The sequence below is a fragment of the Homo sapiens genome, chromosome 4 (genome assembly GCF_000001405.40).
Source record: "Homo sapiens chromosome 4, GRCh38.p14 Primary Assembly".
Classification (NCBI taxonomy): Eukaryota; Metazoa; Chordata; class Mammalia; order Primates; family Hominidae; genus Homo; species Homo sapiens.
Genome location: NC_000004.12, coordinates 88490737 through 88514811, shown reverse-complemented (window position 1 = coordinate 88514811; position 24075 = coordinate 88490737). Strand labels below are relative to the sequence as shown.

Genomic DNA, 24075 nt, shown 5'->3' with positions numbered 1-24075 from the left:
GGCAAGTGTTCATACTTACAGTACAGTAAACACTTGTCACATGTAGATATTGAGTACTAGAAATGTGACTAATGTGACTGAGAATCTTTTACATTTATTGAATTTTTATTAAAGAGCCAATATAGGATGGCACAGTTCTAGACTGTTTTTCCCACTGCTGCCAATGAATGTGTTTACTTTTCAAAATTCTTCAAAGACAAAGCCTTACCTACAGAGGAGTCCAACTTATTGGATAGTGCAGATACAGATTTCCAGCTTCACAGGAAGCTCTGTTGGGCAGTGTTGGTCTAGATACAAGGAGAATGTTGAGAGGCTAATAAAGTGATGGGACAAGAGATTTTTTTTTTTTTTTTTTTTGAGACTGAGTCTTGCTCTCTCGCCCAGGCTGGAGTGCAATGGCACAATCTCAGCTCACTGCAACCTCCACCTCTCGAGTTCAAGCAATTCTCCTGCCTCAGCCTCCCGAGTAGCTGGGATTACAGGCACCTGCCACCGTACCCAGCTAATTATTGTATTTTTGGTAGACAGGGTTTCACCATGTTGGCCACGCTGGTCTCGAACTCCTGACCTCGGGTGACCCACCTGCCTCGACCTCCCAAAGTGCTGGGATTACAGGTGTGAGCCACTGCACCCAGCCAGTAGATGATGATCTTGAGCTTAGTGCACTGGCAGTAGTGGGGTTACAGAGATGTTAAAACTAAAATTATTAGAACTTGACTTGCATGTGGAATGTGGTAAAAGAGAGGGAGAAATGGAAGATAACTGTAGGCTTCTTCTTGAAGATATTGGTGGGATCACTCCAAGCTGTGAAATATGGAAAAACATTTTTGGAATAAAAAATGACAACTTTCTCCTTGCAAATGTTCAGATTACAGAGCCAAGGGGCATGCAGGTAGTGACATAGACTATATAGAAAAATGGCTATCGTGCTGGAATATATGAATTCCTTTAGGTCAGAGGTATAGCTCCAGGTATCACAGGTAGACCTCATCTATCAGCTTAAAGAGGAGACACGTTAGCCGCGGGCCCAGTAATAACTGAAGCCAGAGACTTGATCAGGAGTCCAGGGGTTGGGGGTGTAAGGATACAAAGGAAATGGAAAATAAGTCAAGAAAAGGAGAGCAACAGTCTCGTTTCAAGGAGAAAGTAGTCAACAGTTTCAAATGCAGTAGAAATGATTTAAGATGGAAATAACAAGTTTCTGTTGATTTTTACAACAAAAAAAGTCATCTGTGACATTTACTGGAGCAGTCTGAGTGGGAGAAGTGGGGGACTGGAGGGCAGATCACAGTGTCATGGAGAGATTAAGGCAGGAATTTCCTAATTGCAGATTTTTAGGAAAAAGAACAGGAAGAAGGAAAAGGGGGATTATATAATGAAGAGGAAAATTCTAAAATGTATTATCTTAATGGCAGAAATGTGGATATGGAAGAGCCTGTGGTGAAGCAATTGAAGATTAGAAGATACAGGAAAGCTGGCTGGGCATAGTGGCTCACGCCTGTAATCCCAGCACTTTGGGAGGCCAAGGTTGGTGGATCACCTGAGGCCAGGAGTTGAGACCAGCTTGGGCAACATGGCCAAACACTGTCTCTACCAAAAATATAAAAATTAGCTGGGTGTGGTGTGCATGCCTGTAATTCCAGCTACTTGGGAGGCTGAGGCATGAGAATCGCTTGAACCCAGGAAGCAGAGGTTGTGGGGAGGCAGAGGTTGTGGTGAGCCAGCATCGCACTACTGCATTCCAGCCTGGGCAATAGAGCGAGGCTCTGTCTCAAAAAAAAAAAAACAAAAACAAAAAAACCAAAACAAAACAAAAAAACAAAGATATAGGAAAGCATGGAGAAATGATGGAGGTCTTGGAGGCGGAAAGGAATGCAATCAGACACCTCTCCTCAGAGACAGGGAGGGAGAAAGAAACAAAGGGTGATAGAAGTGGGTTTATAGATGGCTAACAAGTAGGAAATTCCAGGCCTGGCGCGGTGGCTCACCCCTGTAATCCCAGCACTTTGGGAGGCCAAGGTGGGTGGATCACGAGGTCTGGAGATCAAGACCACCCTGGCTAACACGGTGAAACCCCATCTCTACTAAAAATAAAAAAAATTAGCCGGGCGTGGTGGCACGTGCCTGTAGTCCCAGCTACTCGGGAGGCTGAGGCAGGAGAATCGCTTGAACCCAGGAGGCAGAGGTTGCAGTGAGCTGAGATCGCGCCACTGCATTCCAGCCTGGGCAACGGAGTGAAACTCCATCTAAAAAAAAAAAAAAGAGTAGGAAATTCCAGAGGTAGACCCCACTCTATCAAGTTAGGTCTAATGGGTGGACATCACACACCAGGTACAACTATTGCTCTTTCTTCTATAACAAACATAATTTAGCACACATTTAAAAATATATATTAAATAAGATAGATTTTATTTTATCCCATTTTCTCTCTGCTTGAGAATATAAATACCACTTCATAACAGAGGAAAACATTTACTCACTGGTGTTGAATTTGTATCTTGTCTTATTATTAATTTGTTTTATTGTGTTAGCAAATGAAAGACACTGTTCATTTTCTACCTATTGTGAGCTATCCTTCAAATACTTTCAGGTTGCATGTTTTATAGGTTGGCCTTGAATATCTTATTTTATTAATCATAATTGGACTCTTGTACCCTCTTAACAGACCATTGTCTTTAACCAGTTTCAAAAACTTGTTCCTCTCTTGTTTCTCCTGCGCCGTAAGCATCTCTTACAAAACTATGAGCCAAGGTAACTCCTTAAAAAGTCATCCTTGTGACTTAGGGACGGAGGCAAATTATCTTTCATCTCAAAGTTGCCCTAAATTCTGTCCCCAGGCAAACAGCTTGCCATCTTGGCACACACACACACACACACACACACACAAAATGAAATACCTGTTCATTTATGTACTCAAAAAGTGTACAGTGACAGATTTCCCAAGGCATATTAGAATTTTATAGTTGCTGCTTGTACTAGAACTGTTTCTTTAGAATAGCTCCTCAATTTGTTTCTCCATCGGATGCAATTCTAGGGGAACTGCCAATCATCTTAGCCTTTCCTGGCCATGGAATGGGTATGAGACTCAAGGTAGACAAATAAGAAAGATCATCTCTCTTTGGAATTTAAAAACAGCTTTATTGAGATATGAGGCATACAATAAATTACACACATTTAAAGTGTGTAATTCGACAAATTCTGGGATATGTATATACCCGTGAAACCATTCTCACCATTGAAATAATGAACATATCCATCATCCCCCAAAGCTTCCTTGTGCCATTCTGTAATCCTTCCCTCCTGTCCCTCCTCACCCCCATCCCATTTCCCAGGCAACCACTGATCTGCTTTCTGTCACTATACTTTACCTTGCATTGTCTGGCATTTTATATAAATGAATCATACAGGATATAATCATTAACTTCCTTCACCCAGTATAATTATTTTGAGATTCCTGCATGTTGTTGTGTCAACAGTCCATTCCTTTTTATTGCTGAATATTATTCTATAGTATGGACAGACCACGATTTATTTATGTATTCACCTATTGATGGACATTTGAGTTGTTTTCCACTTCTGGCTATTATAAATAAAGCTGCTATGAACATTTGTATGTAATCCTTGCATGGACATACGCTTTTATTTCTCTTGGGTAAATTCCTAAGAGTAGAATAGCAGGATCATATGGTAGATACTTCTTTTTAAGAAACTGCCTAACAGTTTTCCAAAGTGGTCAAACCATTTAAATTCCCACCAACTGTATATAAGAGTTCTAGTTCTTCCACATTCTTATCAACACTTGGTACGTCTATTTAATTTTAGCCATGGTAATAGGGGTGATGTGGTACCTTACTTGGGTTTTAATTTGCAGTTCTATAATGACACGTTGTTAAGCTTATTTGCCATTGATATATCTTGTGTCTGTTCAAATCTTTGCCCATTTTAAAATTGTGTCTTCATTATTGAATTTTGAGAGTTCTTTACATATTGTGGGTAGGATACAAGTCTGTCTTTGTCCATTTTGTGCCGCTATAACAGAATACCTGAGACTGTGTAATTTAAAGAACAGGAATTTATCTCACAGTCTGGTGGCTGGGAAGCCAAGATCAAGACATCAGCAGATTTATTCTCTGGTTCAAGCTGGCACCCTTGTTGCTGTGTCTTCAGAGTAGGAGAATTGTGTTCCTCATGTGGCTGATTGTTGCAAGACTCCTTACTTGGAGTCAGAGCAATAGTAGGTAATACAGTTCTATGTAAAGAATAAAGGAGGAAGCAAAAAGGTTCCAGTCAGTTGAAAAGATTCCCTTTAAAAAGACTCCTCAGGAGTTTTGTGTGGGGCTGTGTCTCTGTCCACCCAAAGTCCCCTGGATCACCCGGAGAGGGATTGGGAGCTGGAGCAGTGAGCAGAATGAATACCTCACATGACCAGAGTGGCTACTCCAGTAATAGAGAACCCCTTTTGAGATGTAGTAATGCATGGAAGGACTTGGAGCTTGCTATTGGTGGAGTTCCCTGGGCCAAACAGCAAATTAAAGATAACTTGTGAGAAGTCAAAACTCAGATTCAGAGTTGTATAAGCTGTCACCTAGAATGCCTTACGAACTGTGAGGTGGCTGTATGAACAGGTAGACCTCATCTATCAGCTTAAAGAGGAGACACTTCAGCCACAGGCCCAGCAGCTCTACTGGTTATTGGGCCAGTTCAATGGTCTTATTCATTAACGGAAGTGCACCCAAAACAAAGATCTAGCCAAGTCTCTGTGTGCCTGGAGAGACTGGGCAGTTTGACCCTTAAGTTTGAAGATTCAACTGTCCTGCTGTTTGAAGCAGACACAACTGCTCTGCATGACTATCACCACATTTGGGTTTCTCAAGACCATTCAAATTCCTAAACACTTCATGCCTCATGCTAGCTTATCAAGTATCAGGCCCTTCCTGGAGAAGAGAGGCTATATCCTAATGCCAGAGCAGAAGTCAGCATCCAGCATCACAGATGTCCCTCTCAGGGAATGGCTCCTTGGAAGCAACCATACCAGTGGTCTTCAGGAACAACCCCCCACGACTGGCTCACCCAAAAGCAGACGTTGGAGAATAGACTTCTTCCAGAGCCTGCAGTTTCTTCAGTAATGTCTCAGGCAACCTAAAGGGCTTTGAAAACTTGCTCCTCAAGAGTCAGCAACAAGAAGTTCCAGAAAAACCAAGTTATCCAAAGTGACAGCCATTTTACTACCAGTTCTTTCTCCATTTAATTGAAAAGGTGGAAGATCTAGAGCTTTCTGATCAAGGTGAGATGATCTATCTAGTGGCTGGTGATTCCCCAGGAATCCTGTAAGTTGGAGAAGCCTGAGAATGGCAGTTATGAAACCAGTGAGAAGTTTAAATTCTTGTTCCATTCCTACAATGTGAATGATTGGCTTGTCAAAACCAACTCCTATATCAACTGTTGGGTCAACCAGCCCAATAGTGTAGAGATTTTGAAAAACCTGGGCAATGTGAAGTGCCTGAATGACTACTTGGAAGCCAAGAAACTATTTTCTACCCTCAGCATCGTTTCTGAGGATTGACTTGTCCAGAACCATCAGGACCCATATAAAGTAGAGGACATATGCACAGCCAATGAGCCCTGCAGAAGTTTTGCAGAGTGTATGATGAGAATTGAGAAGGAAGCTCTGTGTAAGTGGCTTCTAAAGAAAGATAGACAAAATAATGGGATGCCTGAGGAAACCAAACCTGAGCCTGAGAAGCATCAAGATTCCCTGAATATGTGGTCCTGTCCTTCAAGAAAAGAACAAGCTAAGGCATCAAAGGCAACGGCTCCTTCTAGAATTGCTGATTCAAGTCATAAACAACAGTCCCTTGTCAGAGTGGCTAATCCAGCCCCCATATAAGGAAGGAATTCCCAAGGAAGTGCCTAGTACTGAGGACAGGGCTGGCCAACAAAAGCTTAAAAGCCCCACAATCACTTCCTGGTGTCCCTTTAATACAGCTGACTGGATCCTGCCAGGAAAGAAGATGGGCACCCTCAGCCAGTGATCCTCTGGAGAAGACAAGTGGCTACTTCGGAAGAAGGGCCAGGAAGTATTACTTAATCCACCCCTACAGGAGGAACATAACTTCCCCCAAGACCATGATGGCTACCCTACATTTTGTGATCTCTTTGCCTGTATGAAGCTTAAAATCGAGAAAGAGAAGTGATTATATCAAACTCCTCTACAGATGTGAAGGAACAGACAAGAGTTCAGCAGCTTTTCTGCAGATTATTACACATCCATGAGCTAAGTGACTGTGACTTGCCAAATAATTGTGTTTCTGGGTCCGACCAGTTAGCTTAGTCCCTTTCCTGCCTAAATTTGAACTAGTGAAGAAAAATACATCATCGGATTATGAGTTACTATTTAAACAAAAAATGCTGAGGTGACTCAGTTCTTTCCTTTTTACAGAAGTATTAATTCACCCCACACTAGAAATGTAGCACCTTGGTGGAGTTTTTCACAAGCCTCCCACACTCCTTAGATTGGGTTATTACTAAAAGTACATTAAAACACTGTAGTTTTAAAAAGAAGTATTTCTGTAATTGAAGTGTATTGTATTCTAAAGCTAGTAAACTTCCCTAACTTTTAATTGTTCTTTAGCTGCTTCTCTTGCTGTTTTCTTCTATTAGAGGCTGAAATAATTTTTCTCTTCTATTAATATATATTTTGCACAAAAAATTAATCCTGCCATTAGTGATTACCAAAACATGTACTAATAATCTTGGTAATTTTTGACACTAATTACCAAACATTTTAGCCTACATATTAGTTTTACATCATTTTTCTTCTTCACTTGAAAGAAACTGAGCTACTGCAATGTTTTTCTTTATTCCTTTTTCTAAATCAAACTTGTCCAACCCATGGCCCACAGGCCCCAGGATGGCTTTGAATGTAGCCCAACACAAATTTGTAAATTTTCTTAAAACATTATGAGATTTTTTTTTTTAGCTCATCAACTATTATTAGTGTATTTTATGTGTGGCCCAAGACAATTCTTCTTCTTCCCATGTGGCCCAGGGAAGCCAAAAGATTGGACATCCCTGCTTTAAATGTTATTAGAGTATCCAGTATTTAGTATCCTTCTAAAAGTATCCCTCTTTTAGAAGGGCTCTGTATTAAGACCATTTTCAAGGTAGTTTTAGACTCTTTTCAAAATATTCTATAGATCTACATAGGGTTTAAAAGAGCCCCAGTGCTGACTAAGAGCAAATAGGTAAGACACGTTAGAAATGTAGTGTAGTACTTGAACCACTCACTATCCTAGGGATTACTGGTGTATCCTCTGTAAATGGAAGCTGAACTTGACCCCTGGTGCTTTTAACTAGGGATAAAGTTGTGCTCTCACTGTAGGCACAGCATTTCTGTACCTCCAAAAGTACAATGCAGCAACATTTTAGTAAACAGGCTGCTTACAACACTTGTACCTTGGGGTGTTCATTGAAGCTTTATGAAAACCGATGTTTTCTCAGTATCTTTAAACTCATGTCCATGCTTTAAAAAGTCTCCAGGAGAGAAATGGGGTTTATAATGTTTTAAAATTCTCTAAGATATCTTCACCGCTTTCCAGACTTTGAAACTATGAAGTTTCTCAAATGCCTATGTTATTGGAAATACTTTTGGGAAAATGTCATGGTCCCACAATGTCATTGTCATACAGCTTTACTAAAGTTCTTTGAACCACAGCTGAAAAGAGCTTTGTATTATTCCTTAAGCCCCACCCAGATTATCATTTAGAACTATTATAATAATAAAGATGACGGGTAAAAAAAACTTAAGGACGGCTGGACACAGTGGCTCACGCCTGTAAGCCCAGCACTTTGGGAGGCTAAGGCCGGCGCATGACCTGAGGTGGGAAGTTTGAGACCAGCCTGACCAACATGGAGAAACTCTGTCTCTACTAAAAATACAAAATTAGCTGGGCGTGGGGGTGCATGCCTGTAATCCCAGCTACTTGGGAGGCTGAGGTAGGAGAGTCACTTGAACCCAGGAGGTGGAGGTTGCGATGAGCCGAGACAGCGCCATTGCACTCCAGCCTGGGCAACAAGAGTGAAACTGTCTCAAAAAAAAGAAAAAAGAAAAAAAAAAACCTACGGAGTCTTTCCAGTATCTTCAGTTGCAGCTAACTTTGTAGTTTCTTTTTGGGGCCTAACACACTGTATTTTACATTATCAAAGTGTAATTTACATTTATCACTATGTTAATGAGTATGTACAACATTCTTTTGCTTGGATGCATTTTGTACCTAACTCCATTAAAAGCATAACAGCATTTAAATAAAAAAGCTTCCTCAGAAGCTTCTCCCAATAACTGTCACCACTGCCACCTGTCCCTACCTTGAAGAGAGGCTGGGAAATGTATGATTTTAAGACTGAGAACAATGCCACTCCTACCATATAGGGAATCTGTACTGAAAGAAGGGGAGAACAGATATTGGGTAGATAATTACAAGTTTTTTAAAAAAACTTCTAAGGTAAAGAGTATCCCTTCAGGCCAAGTCATGCAAACATTGTGTGAGAGACACAGCTTAATCTATATTATAATTGATATATCTTACATGCAATGATAGCAATTCCAAAAGAGCTGGTAAACACATTGAATAGTGAATAAGACTTTTATGTTAATTTTTCGGTTATTTTATTTTTGAAAAATATTTCCCAAAAGAGGTAAGGAATATGATGTAGGCATAGGGGTATCCAAGGGAGAGAATACAGTCACGGGTTCTAACCGGCCAGTAAACCCTCTTCTTCATCCCTCTTTCCTGCTTATCACTAGAGACAGAAATGAAAAACCATGGCTTCAGGCTGCTAAAAGCCTAAAACAAAACAAAGTAGAGAAACAACAACAACAACAACAACAACAACGATAACAACAACAAAATAAGGCTGTTGGACAAGCAAGCTGGTCAGCCAAATCCTCTGTTGTTGTTGATGGCTTCTTGAAGCGCTTCTTCAACTGTTTCCATTGTAGAATATTTAGGGAGGAAGAGGACACTGAAACATGTCAGTGCTCTTATAGGGTCTCTTTCATTCCAACTTTCAGGACAGCAAAATGTTATTTTCATATTATTTAAATCTTTCATTTGTAGTCTGTCAGTTCCTGTAAGAAATACTAAAAAGAAGAATAAAATTAGGCAATCTGTTTTACATGGAGACCAAAATCTCTTTACAGAGAAAAAAATCTATTTATTCACAAAACTTCACTGGAGCCCATGTGCAGTGTCCTACATTTGACAGTGCATTGGGGATTGTATTCGAACAATGTCTGACACATAGTCACTGTCCTCAAGCAGCTTAAAGTCTGACTGGGAATATTAGATTCTTGTGAAGAAAAAGACACATAATAGCAAGAGAAAAGCTGTAAGGTATAAGACAGCCCGAAGAGGTGTCATGGAGTTAAGTGCCTCCTGAGTCAATGCTATGCTTGAGAATAAGGAGAGAGAGCCAGGCTGGGATGACTGAGGGGATTTCCAAGAGTTCAGAATTATGCCGGACCTTTAAGGATGGAAAGGTTTAGAAAGGCAACAAGGAGGTAGGTGAGGTTCAAGGCAGGAGAAGGAACTTCACAGAAAGGCCTGGAGGTGGGAAGGTGCAAGGTGAGCTCAGGAGTGTTCAGACAATGGGATTATTTGGTTGGGACAAAAATTTCCTCTAGGAGTTAAGACTGGAAAGGTAGGTTGGGCTTCTATTAAGTCTGAATATCTTCTAACATACATGTTATCCACAAAAATAAAAATAGAAGATAAATATTTCTCAAAAGTAAGGAAATAGAAAATGAGAAAGTCATTAAGCCTAAAGATACAAATAAAATAGCTGTGTACAGTAATAGCAAATATAGTATTAATAATATAGGAACAGTAAAAATTAGCCAAATAAAATATTTTAGTTAATCCCAAAAAGGCTGAATAAGTGAATGATGACAGGGCTACAGAAAGAAGGCTTGATATTTAGCTTGGATGAAGAAACGAAAACTTTAAAAGCAATAAGAAGGGATGAAATCACAGGGGAAAAGATTGCTTATAGATATTAACATTTGTTTTTTGATGTTGGGACACAGAGGATGTTCAGTTGGACTAGGCGTAGCTCTGACACTATGATCTGTTGCAAATGGTACTTATCATAAAGGAAATTTTTATCCCATTAAAAAGACATACGATTACAGATCTATTCCTTGATATAATACTTACCAAGGAATTTTTTCTTTTCTTCCAGAGTCAATTTGTGGAAAGCCTTCCAAAACATCACTATGGTGGGATGTGAACTGTTATATCCTGGTTCATAACGTGCATTCTAGAGAAAATACAAAAAAAAGTTATTGAGGAAATAGGAAGGAAAACTGAATTTAATCAACTTAGACTTGATGATGTACCTTTTCAAATGTTTTCCAATCATAATCTGTATTTCCAACAATCACATCCTTCAGTTCTTCGGGGTGGAATAATTTGATAATGTCTTCGTCGCACATTTTATAAAATCCTCTCCGAAATTCTTCATAAACCGCCTTTACAGAGTCGTTGAAAATGTAATTGATATACTTAGAAACATAGTCTCTCCTTTAATAAAACAAAATGTTATTTCCACTTACTGCAATATCCTGAACAAAATGGTGAGGGGCTAAAAATAAAAGCTAGAATACCTAACAGTTATTGAGTACCTACCATGTGCCATGGACTGTCATAGTTACTAGAGATTATCTAATGTAATTTTTTTTTTTTTTTGAGACGGAGTCTCGCACTGTCACCTGGGCTGGAATGCAGTGGTGCGATCTTAGCTTATTGCAACCTCCACCTCCTGGGTTCAAGAGATTCTCCTGCCTTAGCCTCCCAAGTAGCTGGGATTACACGTGCCTGCCACCATGCCCAGCTAATTTTTTTGTATTTTTAGTAGAGATGGGGTTTTACCATGTTGGCCAGGCTGCTCTCAAACTCCTGACCTTGTGATTTGCCTGCCTCGGCCTCCCAAAGTGCTGGGATTACAGACGTTAGCCACCGCACCTGGCCCTAATGTAATTTTTATAACAACTCCATCATATGCTGCTTATAACATATATAACTTAAATGTGAAAACACAGATTAAAGTCAAAGAAGGGAAAAAGATACACTATGCAAACATCAACCAAAATGAATGTGGTGTAACTATACTAAAATCAGACAAACAAGACAAGGATAGAAAAGTACATTTACTAATGACAACCGAGTCATATACCAGGAAGGTAAAACAATTCAAAAATCTGTTATGTGCTTAGTAATAACGAAACTTAAAGAAACACTCATATCCACATGTATAGTATAGATGCTAATATACCTCTCCTAGTAACTAACAGAAAAGCAGACAAAAAAATTTTTAAGGACAGAGAAGATTCAAATACAATAAATGATCCAAGAAACCTATTTAGAATATTGCAACAAGATCTCTACATAGAAAACTACCTAACATTTTTTCAAGAATGACAAAAGACGATTTAAACAAATGGAGATTCTGTATTCATGGATTAAAGCCTCATTATTTTAAGATGTCAATTTTTTCAAAAAATTGATCTATAGGTTCAGTATAATCAGTTTCAAAAATTGAAAAAATAAAACCTGATCCATACCTTGCATCTTACTAAAAAATCAATTAAAGTGGATCATAGATCTAAATGTGAGAAATAAAATGATAAGCTTCTAGAAGAAAATACAGGGGAATATATTCATAGCCCTAGGATAGGGAAGTATTCATAAAATAGAAAACAGAAAAACACTATGCATTAAGGAAAATATTGATAAAGTAGACTACATTACAATTACAAATTTTGGTTAATCAAAAGACACATTTAAAAAGTGAAAAGACAAGCCACAGTATGTAAGAAGATATCTGCAGTACATATAACCAACAAAAGACTTGCATCTAGAACTCTCATAAACTGACAAGAAAAAAAAAAGCAACAGAAAAATAGACTAAAGATGAGGAATAATTATTTCTGAAAAGAGGATATCCAAACAGCCAATAAGCATATAAAGTGCTTAACATTAGTAATCAGAGAAATGCAAATTAAAACCACAATGGAATACTACTATATACCCACCAGAATGGCTAATTTAAAAAAGACTAGTAATACTATTAGAGTGGATATAGAGCAATTAGAACTGTCGTACCCTACTGATGAAAGTGTGCCTCCATTTTTTATGTTTGCTTACTAACAGCTTTCAAGTCCCACTCCTCCTTTTTCCCCTTTCGCCTCCAAATCTGCACAACACAGGCTCACTCCCTGGGCACCCACTGATGGCTGCGTGGCTTAAATTTCCCCACGCATGCTCTGGGTTGCATGAGAACCCTGACCCTGGCCCCACGGAACCACCATAAAAACTAAAGCCACCTGCCTCTCTCTTCACTTAAGCCAAACAGATCAGCTTGGATGCCTGTGCAGCTCTCCCCAAAAAGCCCCATTATGTACTAAACATTTTCATACTCTCTGGCTTACATATGGCATCATCCATATCAATATCCAAATGAATTTCAGGTAGGAGCATTGATTCTGCCTGCATGGAGCAAGGGGCAACCACAAGGCACCAAGCACTTCTCCCAGTTACATACCAACAGAAATGCCTGCACATAAACAAAACACATGTACAAGAATGTTCACAAGAGCATTATTCATAATAGTCCAAAACTTGAAATACACTATGTCGGTCAAAAATACTACAGATAGGCCGGGCGCAGTGGCTCACGCCTGTAATCCCAGCACTTTGGGAGGCCAAGGTGGGTGGATCATGAGGTCAGGAGATGGAGACCATCCTGGCTAACACGGTGAAACCCTGTCTCTACTAAAAATACAAAAAATTAGTTGGGCGTGGTGGCGGGCGCCTGTAGTCCCAGCTACTCAGGAGGCTGAGGCAGGAGAATCGCTTGAACCCGGGAGGCGGAGGTTGCAGTGAGCCAAGATTGCGCCACTGCACTCCAGCCTGGGTGACAGAGCGAGGTGCCATCTCAAAAGAAAAAAAAAATTCTACAGATAAATAAACTGTGATATATTCATACAATACACAACTATATAGCTGGAAATGTTATATTTCTTGATCTGGCAGTAATTACATAGGCATGTTTGCTTTGTGAAATTCACTAAACTGTACATTTATGACTTGTGCAAAATTCTGTTATATAGGTTATACTTCAATACAAAGTTTAAAAAAAAAGATTAAGAAATCGTGGAAAAAGATGTGATGTAGGCCAGCACGCTTCCTAGAGATCTCTTTGCCACTCTGACCAACTATCAAGGGAAGGTTCTATAATTCCAAACTCCATGGCTTTAAATGGCATTCCATTAGATGTTGGGAAGTCAAAATATCATAGTAACCTTTTCAACAAATACTTACTATGTGCCTGCAATGTATCAGGCACCACTGTAGACTACTCTAGGTACTGAATATACAGCGGTGAAGAATACATACCAAGTCCCTGCCGCATTCACTATCATTGGAGAAACAATGAGAAATAAATAAGCAAATAAACCCTAAAGGTAGGTAATGTGTGATATGAAAAGAAAAAGCAGAACGAGTGGATAAAGAGGGACAGATGTTGGTGTTGTAATTTTGGACAGGAGGAAATAGAAAGGTCTCTCTGAGAAAGCCATTTCCATTCCTTACCACAATATAAACTCCATGATATATATGTCAAAACACATACAACACACACCAACTTCTCTGCCTTAGTGAAAAATGATTAATGAGAATGAAAAATTAAAGAGCTAAAAGGAATTTTTAGAGCTCAGTAAAATAAAAATAGTACATATACAAACCAACTATTTCATTTTTTGTACCTACTTGTTAGTCTGGTTGACAGTTATGCTACTTCCATTAGGAATTAAGTTTGTGTCGTTTCTGTCCCAGTGCACCTGTAACCGCAAATGAACTCAGATAATATCTCCAACATAATTCTGAACAATCTATCATCAATAAAAACACTTTGGAGCATACTTTCTAAAAAGAATGTGTTAAAATGTACATTTTTGTCATAAAAGCTAGCAAGGAATGTACAAACAAAAAATTACACCCTATCATACTGAATAAAAATAAATTTTTTCAAAGCTTGAATTCTCTTATTTTAACTGATCAAATTAAACAAATTAATTGGAAAATTGCTACATCTCAGTATTCACTTCATACAGCATAGACCCAGTATGGTAGATTTACAAAAATGGCCATGAATTCTTCCCATCCTAGTTCTCCTGCCCCTTTGCCTAGTGGCTTTGCAACACTTGCAATCAAGGGGAGAGGCTATCTCTTCAGCCACTGAATCTCGGCATGGCCATGTGAGGTACTTTATTTAGCCAATGGGATCTGACAGAAGCAGAAGCATGTGTGGTGGGGCTTGCTATCGCTTCCTCTCTGTAACCCTAAGGCCACCATGTGAAGAATAAAGACTGCAGTCTTGCTTCAAAAGCCTCAGCTAGCCTATTGGAGAATGAAAGACCACAGGGAACAGAGACAAGCTGTTCCAGCTGATACCCTATAACCCAACCAGCCTGCCAGTGACTGGGCATGTGAGTGATACCACTGTAGACCATCCAGCCTGGCCAAGTCGGCCCAGTTCAGAAACCCACAAAATTGTATTTGTTCTTTTAGGGCACTAGGTTTTAGGGTTGGCTGTTACATAGTAAAATCTAACTGATGCACCTAGATCATGATGAAGAACAATACCTTTTTCACTAATTTATTCAGGTTTTTTTTTTAAGTAAAAGTTGACATGTTTAGTTAAATATGTAAAGGGTTAATCAGATTAAAACTAATCTGTTATCTGCTTTTATTGTTACTCACATTAAAATGGATGTAAAATACTTCCTCAAAGTTATCACCTTCATCATCCAGAAGTGTTTGCAAATTCCTAAGGAAAAAATAATCTTGCTTTTAAAAAGGTAATAACCATGATCACTAGACACAGCATCTAAAATAAATGTCAAGTGTATAGCTATTCTGAAGGTATGAGGTCAGGTATAGTTCACAGCACCTCTTTCTCTGCGTACTGATAGTCTAAACAGGGCCAGACCTCAACTAAACATGTCAAATTTAAGAAGCTTGTCTGCATTTCTGCAGGCTGCCTGCCTGCTTCACAGCTCTTGTTCCTTTACCTTAAATTCCCTACCTAATGATTGTAGGTTTCTATTTAGAAAAGGATTCTAACGTTCACTGATAGTGAATTCATTCAAACTGGTGTTACCTTTATTGAAGCTTTTGAACTTTACTTACAGAATAGGTCTCATATTAAATTTCAGGTATCAGTAACTCTGAGGTGGGTCAAAGGACCTTCTCTGCACCTCTTGTCCCAATATCATCAAGCTTAAGAAACACCTGAAATTAGACTACCTTAATAATTTCAGGGCATTTGTGAGAATAGAGGTCACATCAAAATGGACAGTAACCAATTTTTAAATTATTTCCATCCTATCATCCTATGATGCTTTATACATGCTTTTGAAATAACACATCTCATTGTATTTGCTCATTCACTCAAATATTTATTTAACAAACATTTAAGTAGCCCCTACTATAGCAGGCATAGGGGATGTAAAGTTGAGACTAAGATATCACTGCCAATACTCTGGGACTTGAAGGTGAGGTATGCTGATGGGAGTCTCACCTACAATACAGTGAGGTATGTGCAGCCAGAGAACTATGGAAATCACACAGGTATAGGCTTAAAAGAGCACAGTTAAATTTTTCTGAAGGGATACATGACATTGGGAAAGGCCTCTGGGATAAGGTGGAATCTGAACTGATTTTTTTTCCCCACTGGGTTTTTAAATTACTGTATTGTGAAGTAACAGACCATGTTTTATTCATTGTGGGTTGTTTTTGTTTTTGTGGGGAAGGCGGTGAACTGTTCTCCAGCTGTGATCCTGTGAAATCGAACAAGTTACCTGCTTCTAAAATACAATGGTAGGCCAGGTACAGTGGCTCACGCCTGTAATCCCAGCAATTTGGGAGGCCGAGGCGGGTGGATCACTTGAGGTCAAGAGTTTGAGACCAGCCTGGCCAACATGACAAAACCTCATCTTTACTAAAAATACAAAAATTAGCCAGGCATGGTGGCATGTGCCAGTAATTCCAGTTACTCAGGAGGCTGAGGGACGAGAATCGCTTGAACCTGGGAGGTGGAGGTTGCAGTGAGCCCAGATTGCACCACTGCACTCCAGCCTGGGCCACAGAGTGAGACTCTGTCTCAAAATAAATAAATTAAATAAAATACAACAGTGGAACAGGCATAGGATAGACATTCCCATTTCAAAAGGGAATAACAGAAATAAGAAAGGGGTAATAGGTCCCAACTAAGTCCAAAACTCAAAATGGCATGCAACATTAAATCTTAAGGCTTGAGAATAATCTTTGACTCAATGTCCCACTTTCAGGACACACTGGGTTTGGGGTTGGGCTCCTAAGTTTCCAGGCAGCCCTACACCCATGACTTTGCTGGGCAAAGCCCACCCCTAGAGGCTCTCACACATTAGTGTTGGGTGCTTTTGATTCTCCCTCAGGCTGGAACTGCACACTGGTGGCTCTTCTCGGGTCTCTAGAGCAGCCTCACTCCCATGACTCCACTAGGCATTGCCTTAGTGGGGGCTCTCTGCAGTTGCCTCAACCCTGTGCCAGTTCTCTGCCTGGACCCCATGGCTCTGTGGAGTATCCTTTGATATCTAGGTGGGAGAAGCCAAGGCCCCACAGCTTGTGCACTCTGTGCCAGCAGAGATGGCACAGCCACTGTGACCACACCACACCTGGGGCCACTGGAGTCACACCTGGGTCAGCTGAGGAGCACTGTGCCAGAATGCAATGAGTAGGGACTTGAGGCAGCGCTGGACATCAAATGTCCAGGTCCTGTGGGCACACAAAGCCACTCTTGACATAGTTCTGTCCTCCAGGCCTTGGCACTCAGGGCCTATGATGGGAGTGACAGCCCCCAGTGATCTCTGAAATGCCTTTGGGATCATTCTTCCATTGTCGTGATGAATAGCACCAGGCTTCCACCCATCCACACTAACCTCTTTATTAATAAAAAGAGTCACCTGGCCATACCCTTGGTGCTCTCTTCCAAACACGTTTGCATTCTTTACAACATGGCCAGCCTGAGAATTTCCAAATCTTTAAGTTTGGCTTTTTTTCTAATGATAAATTCCACTTTAAATAATTCTCCCTGCTTGCATTTTGGTATAAGCAGTCAAGAAAAGCCATATTGTTCCTTTACCACTTTGCTTAGAGATTGCTTCTGCCAAATATCCTATTTCATTGTTAAGAATCTGACTTTCCACAAAACACTAGGATACAACAGAATTCAGCCACATTCTCTGCCACTTTATATAGTAACAAGGAGCACCTCTCCTCCAATTTCCAATGTGTTCCTCACTTCCATCTGAGACCTCATCAGAATTGCCTTTATTGTCTACGTTTCTACTAACATTCTGATCATGACCACTTAGGTAATCTCTAAGAAGACCAAGGCTTTCTCTAGAGGTCTCCTCTTCTTCTGAGCCCTTGCCAGAACTGCTCTATAGGGCAATACATGATTTTTCTAGCATGTGCCTCAAAACTCTTCCACTACTTACTAATTACCTAGTTCCAAAGTTGCTTCCAACACCACACTTCTTGGTAGCAATTTCCCTTAGTCCATTTACGCTGCCATAACAAAATACCTTAGACTGGGTAATCTATAAATAGAAATTTATTGCTCACGGTTCTGGAGGCTTGGAAGTACAAGATCAAAGTGCCAGCAGATTCGGTGTCTGAATCTAAAGGGAATAGGTGACGACCCATTCCTTTTCAATGGTGTCCTCTGTGTCCTCTCATGGTGGAAGGGGCGAACAGGCTCCCTTGGGCCTCTTTCATAGGGGAATGAATTCTACTCATGAGGGCTCCACACTGGGGATGAGGCTTCAAAATATGAATTTTGTGGGGGACACATTCAGACCCTGACAACACCTTCCCTTTTGCATTTTTCTAACACCCTCTTGATGAAGAAAGAAGTTCTTTAATCTTATTGCAATTAAATGTATTAAATCTTTTCTTTACTGTTGGTACACTGCATGTCTTGTTTAAGAAATCTCAAAGGTGAGAAAGATCATTCTCCTGTATTTTCATGATTTTTGCATTTAATATCTAAATCCTTCATCCACATGGAGGTGATTATCATGTATGGCATAAGACAAAGATCTACTTTCATTTTTTTCCCCAGATAGATATCATTTTTTTCCAGTTCCATTTATTGAGTAGTACTGCTATTCCCCTTGATCAAATATGTCACCTCTAATAAAGTTCCACATAGGCATGGGTCCATTTCTGAGCTCTATCGTCTGTTCTATCGGAAAACCTGCACCAATATCATACATCATACTGTCCTGACTAATACAGCTTTCTAATAATTCTTGATAGCTGACAGACCAAGTTCTCCATCCTTATTTGCCTTAAGAATTATTTCTGGCTATTCTTGACCCTTTGTTCATCCATATAAATTTTAGAACCAGGTTGTGAAGTTTAATAAAAAGCCTCCTGGGATTAAAATTGAGTTTTACTGAACACAGAGATCACTGGTTCTCAAAATGTGAGCCAGACCAGCAATTCTTGGGAATCCTTGGGCCTTTACAGAGTTCATGAGGTCAAAACTATTTTCATAACATTATTAAGATGTTATTTGCCTATTTTCACATTCTGCTGTGAGTAAACAGAAGAGTTTTCATGAGGCTATATGATATTGTGGAATGCTCTGCTAACAGATATTTGTGTATTCCTGTGTTTAAAATATTTAATTTCTAATCCCGTAAATATTGACAGATGTAACCAACCTAACTAAAAGCGCTTTGGAGTCCTCAATATTTTTAAGAGAATCTTAAGACCTAAAAGTTTGAGAAACAATGATACAAATTTAAAGATCTTTTAGTTCATGTACATTGTTAATTATCAGTCTTTTGAGGCATAATTATTATTTAGGTTATCTTCGATGTTTCCAGTAAAATAATAATGACAAATTTATCTCCTTCTTTCTAAATCTTGTGCTTTTGATTTTTTTTTCCTTGTCTTATTAGTACAGTTAGTATAAACGATTAATAGACTCTGGAGCCAGACTGTGTTCAGATCATCGTTCTGCCATTATGGGGCCTTGAGCAAGTTACCTAATCTTTCTGTGTTTTAGTTTCTGAATCTGTAAAAGAGGGATGATAATAATACTAGAATCATATTACTGTTCTTATTCTTTTTTTTTAATTGAGACAGGGTCTTCTACTGTCGCCCAGGCTGGAGTGCAGTGGTATGATCACGGCTCACTGCAGCTTCGACCTCCTGAGCTCAATCTATCCACCTGCCTCAGCCTTCTGAGGTGTGCCTCCTGGCATGTGCCACCATGCCCAGCTAATTTTTGTTGTTTTTGTTTGTTTGTTTTTGTAGAGATGAGGTCTCGCCGTGTTGGTCAGGCAGGTCTCAAACTCCTGGGCTCAAGCAAGCCACTTGCCTCAGCCTCCCCGCAGTGCTGGGATTACAGGGATAAGCCATCATGCCTGGCCTGTTCTTACTCTTTAAAAATAAAAATCTCTGTAGTATTCCATTTGCATAAGTATACCAAAAATATATCATTCCCTTAGTGAAGGACATTTAGGGAGTCTTTATATTATAAACTATAAATACAGTATATATTACTATACACTGATCCTTGCATGGTTGTGTATTTCTGAAAGTTAAATGTCTAGAAGTAGAATTGTTGAGTTGAAAAGGCAAATATGTTTTGATTTTGCTAAGTCCTGCCACACTGTTCTCTGAAAAGGAGTACCAATTTATATTTCCACGAATAATACCTGAAATTAAAATGAAAGTTTTCAAGCCCTTGCTAATACTATATAGCATCAACACTTCAAACCACTGTCAACTTGAAGTATAAATTAGCCTCTCACGTTAATATGCATTCTATGAGCACTGGTGAGATTGAAGACATTTTTATTTAGGAAGCATTTCTATTGCTTCTTTGCCAGGTTGCCTTCTTGGATACTTTGTGAATATTTCTTACGGATGTGTAGGAATGCTTTACACAGCAGGGATATGAAAACCCTTTTACTGTTGCCATTTTTTGGTGAGGTGGTGGCTTGTCTTTTAACTTAGAAATAAGTTTCCATTTTAAAGGTGATGACATGAAACAACATTTAACATAAATATCACTAGCAGATTTTGCACCAAGGTGTAACCTGTGCTCTGTGCATGACTGTTCCTACACAGAAAAAGTTGAAAGATTAATGCAAACATTGAAGTCTAGTTATGGGAATAATCAACACTTCCTAATTTTAGAAAACGAAATTATCATCCAACAATTCTTGTCAAAGTTAAAACTGGTCTAAAGTACCTAAAATGCTGCTGTTGAACATGGAAATATTATGAAGCGTGTGTACTTAAATATTTGCCTAAATATATGTTAGAAAGGGTCCTTTCTCAGGAACTCTGTTTACTTACTTTCCCAAATCAGGACTGAGTTCTTTCAAGTCTTCCAATGATGGCATTTGGTCCAAAAGTTTCTTAAACAGTGCCAGTGGGAAAGGAAGGTTGGCAACATTGCAATTGAACAGGGAAAGTCCACATAGAACCCCAAAAAAGAAGTATCTTTTCTTCTCAAATTTAGGCTGAAAAGCGAAAAAAAAATCTTAAAGTATTATGAGTTTTTACCAGTACAATGAAATATTTATATTAAATAAATCTTTGTTTCTCTTTCATAAAATCAAATCTCAAATTGAAAAATTTAAAGCCTGAGATAAGAATGTTTAGGGTTTATATTAGGTTGGTGCAAAAGTAATTGCAGGTTTTGCCATTAAAAGTAAAGGCAAAACCTGCAATTACTTTTGCACCAACCTAATATTTGGTCATTAAGTCAATTTAAATCCCTGCCACTCTCACGCTTGTAATCCCAGAACTTTGGGAGGTCAAGGTGGACAGATAACCTGAGGTCAGGAGTTTGAGACCAGCCTGGCCAAACTGGTGAAACCCCATCTCTACAAAAAATACAAAAACTACCCAGGTGTGTTGGCAGGAGCCTGTAATCCCAGTTATTGTAATCCCGCCAGGCTGAGGCAAGAGAATGGCTTGAGCTTGGGAGGCGGAGGTTGCAGTGAGTTAAGATCATGGCACTGTACTCCAGCCTGGGTGACAGAGTGAGATTCTGTCTCAAAAATAAAGCAAAACAAAACAAACAAACAAATAAAAAACCAAATAAATCCCTGCCACAGTTTTGGTTCCTAAAAGCATACCAGCAATAAAAATACATTAGGTTCAGTAATCCTTATAAACTAGTTTTCACAATTTCTTTCCACAGCCTTTGTCTTCAAATTCATTAGGAAAACAGAACTGACACAAAGAATGAGTACCTAAAAAAGAGAGGGTTCCTTTTTAATCCATGCATTATATAAATGATCAAAAAATATATTGCTTGAGTTCGATGTGAACAGACATGGGAACCCAGGAAAAGGAAACTCCATTTTAAAGAAAATAATCACCTTATTAGAATTATACATTATCTCCATAATTATATCAATACTCCTCTTCTAACATGAAATAGTCTAGACAAACTAATTTTCTATGGTATATGGTGTACTTTTTCTGTCGCAAAATACCTTAAGCAAAGAAGAGGGAACTTACCTTGACAGGAAACCACATGCAGGAAGCCCCTTCAGGATACATGAACATCCCATATTCCGGCTGGATCATCTCTGCAAACAGACAGTAGAAGAACTCTTTCTTGACTCCTCCGAGGTCATACCCAATTTCTCCACTAAATGAAACCTGAGGAAACAGAGCAAATAATACATCACTTCCAGGGCTCTATATTGCTATATATGAAGTCTCATTTAATAATAGTAAATAGCTAACATTAATTGTGGACCCAAGTATTTGGAAGGCACTGAGGTAAGTATCCTACTTATATTATCATATTTAATCTCTACATTAATTCTATGAGATAACGAGGCCTTGAGAATTTAAATAACTTTTCCAAGTTTATACAATAGTCAGGTGGTGCAGCCTAGTTTTTTTGTTTTGTTTTGTTTTTTGAGATGGAGTCTCACTCTGTTGTCTAGGCTGGAGTGCAGTGGTCTGATCTCGGCTCACTGCAACCTCCGCCTCCTGGGTTTAAGCGATTCTCCTGCCTCAGCCCCCAGAGTAGCTGGGATTACAGATATGCACCACCACGCCTGGCTAATTTTTTTGTATTTTAAGTAGAGACGGGGTTTCACTGTGTTGGCCAGGCTGCTCTTGAACTCCTGACCTCAAGTGATCCACCCACCTCAGCCTCCCAAAGCGCTGAGATTACAGCCATGAGCCACCACACCCGGCCTACAGCCTAAATTTAATCCTTTATCAGTCAAACCCCAGAGCCTAAAGTTTTTACCACTTTAGGTAAAAGTTTTACCTAAATTGACCTCAACTGGCATCACTATTATAGTCACCAGATCCAAGTATAATAAAAATAAACAGAAAGAAATCATAAAAATTGGCCGGGCGTGGTGGCTCACACCTGTAATGCCAGCACTTTGGGAGGCCGAGGTGGGCGGATCATGTGAGGTCAGGAGTTCGTGACCAGTCTGGCCAACATGGTGAAACCCCGTCTCTACTAAAAATACAAAAATTAGCTGGGTGTGGTGATGCATACCTGTAATCCCAGCTACTCAGGAGGCTGAGGCAGGAGACTCACTTGAACCCGGGAGATGAAGGTTGCCATGAGCCAAGGTCGCACCACTGCTCTCCAGCCTGGGCAACAGAGTGAGACTCTGTCTCAAAAATAAATAAATAAATAATAAAAATCAGGATATTCAAAAAACCAGAGCACACATAAGGTGTTTGCTGAAGTGGCTGTTTGCTCCCCGAGGAGGCTGCACCCCTACTGCTGACACCAATCCCTCCCAAGAGGATGCTATCATAACCCATCTTTGCTCCTTCAGTCACCCCTCCATTCCTGCCTTTTCCTGGAATCCTTCACTTCCATTCACAAACATGTTAAGGTCCCCCTTAACCTTAAAAGGAAAAAAAAAATCCCAACACATTGTCTCCAATACAAACACGGGCTCCTTCCACTCTTGCCAAACTTCAGAGATATACGCCAACTTCCAAACCCACTTCTCCACTTAAATGGGTCTCTCCAAGAAGAACAAGAACTGTAAATCCCCAAGCTCCAAGGACTTTTTCTCATATCTCATCTCCTTGATTTCGTTAACTCATTTTCCACTTCTGATCATGTCCTTTTCCTTGACACAATCTTCTCCCTTGCTTTCTCCTATGAAGCACTCTTCACGGTTTTATTTATCTCTTCTTTTTCCTGCTGGCTTAATTTCTAGAAACAGAATTGCAGACAGTTCTATCCTAACACTTCTGTCCTTTCTCTCTGTTCTTTCCCTGGATGCTCATTTTCTCCTTAAACTTTGTTTACCACCCATACGTATTTAACCTTCAGATTCAGTGCATTTTCTCTCCTGATTGACAGTCACTTCCAACGGCCTGTTCAACATTTCTACCCAGATGTTATACTAGCATCCCCAGAAATCTCCTCTTACCAGTTTATTTATTTAGATGCTGCCTCTTCCATTCCTCTTGGTGAAATAGTGAAATACTAAAAATCTTTGTAGCAAGACCAGGTGTCAAACCCTTCCCCCTCTTCTTACTAAGGACAAGCTGCCCAACCTCATAAAACCTCAGTTTTCCCACAAGATTATCAGAAAGATTACAGGGGTCATACATGTAAAATGCCTCACACAGAGCCTGCAAATGGTAAATGCTGAGTGTTACCTGAATTTAAAAACTGAATGAACAATATATAAAAGTGGAACTCAAATAATCGAGTAGACTGACTGGCAAAGCATAGAATCACATAACGAGTCCATTAGAGTTATACAATTATCTGTGTGCAAAAATACATGGAAATACCAACTCTAACTGCAATATATATATTTTTTTCCTTGAGACAGAATCTTGCTCTGTCGCCCAGGCTAGAGTGCAGTGGGGTAATCTTGGCTCACTGCAACCTCCACCTCCTGGGTTCAAGAGATTCTCACTGCCTCAGCCTCCC

The 24075-nt window shown here is 39.6% G+C and overlaps 1 protein-coding gene and 1 pseudogene across 2 annotated transcripts in view; one reads left to right on the top strand and one right to left on the bottom strand.

The window, feature by feature from the left end:
• NCOA4P2 (nuclear receptor coactivator 4 pseudogene 2) lies at positions 4325 to 7809 on the top strand (annotated as a pseudogene).
• Positions 8649 to 24075, bottom strand: part of HERC5 (HECT and RLD domain containing E3 ubiquitin protein ligase 5) — a 49045-nt gene continuing 33618 nt past the window's right edge. For both annotated transcript variants that reach the window (NM_016323.4, XM_011532022.3), the window contains 7 exons: positions 21657 to 21800; positions 20481 to 20647; positions 14820 to 14886; positions 13827 to 13897; positions 10397 to 10580; positions 10215 to 10317; positions 8649 to 9139 (listed from right to left, as the gene is read on the bottom strand). In NM_016323.4, the coding sequence (NP_057407.2) occupies positions 8934 to 9139; positions 10215 to 10317; positions 10397 to 10580; positions 13827 to 13897; positions 14820 to 14886; positions 20481 to 20647; positions 21657 to 21800 (942 nt within the window). In that variant the 3' untranslated portion in view covers positions 8649 to 8933. The remainder of the gene's footprint in view (positions 9140 to 10214; positions 10318 to 10396; positions 10581 to 13826; positions 13898 to 14819; positions 14887 to 20480; positions 20648 to 21656; positions 21801 to 24075) is intronic.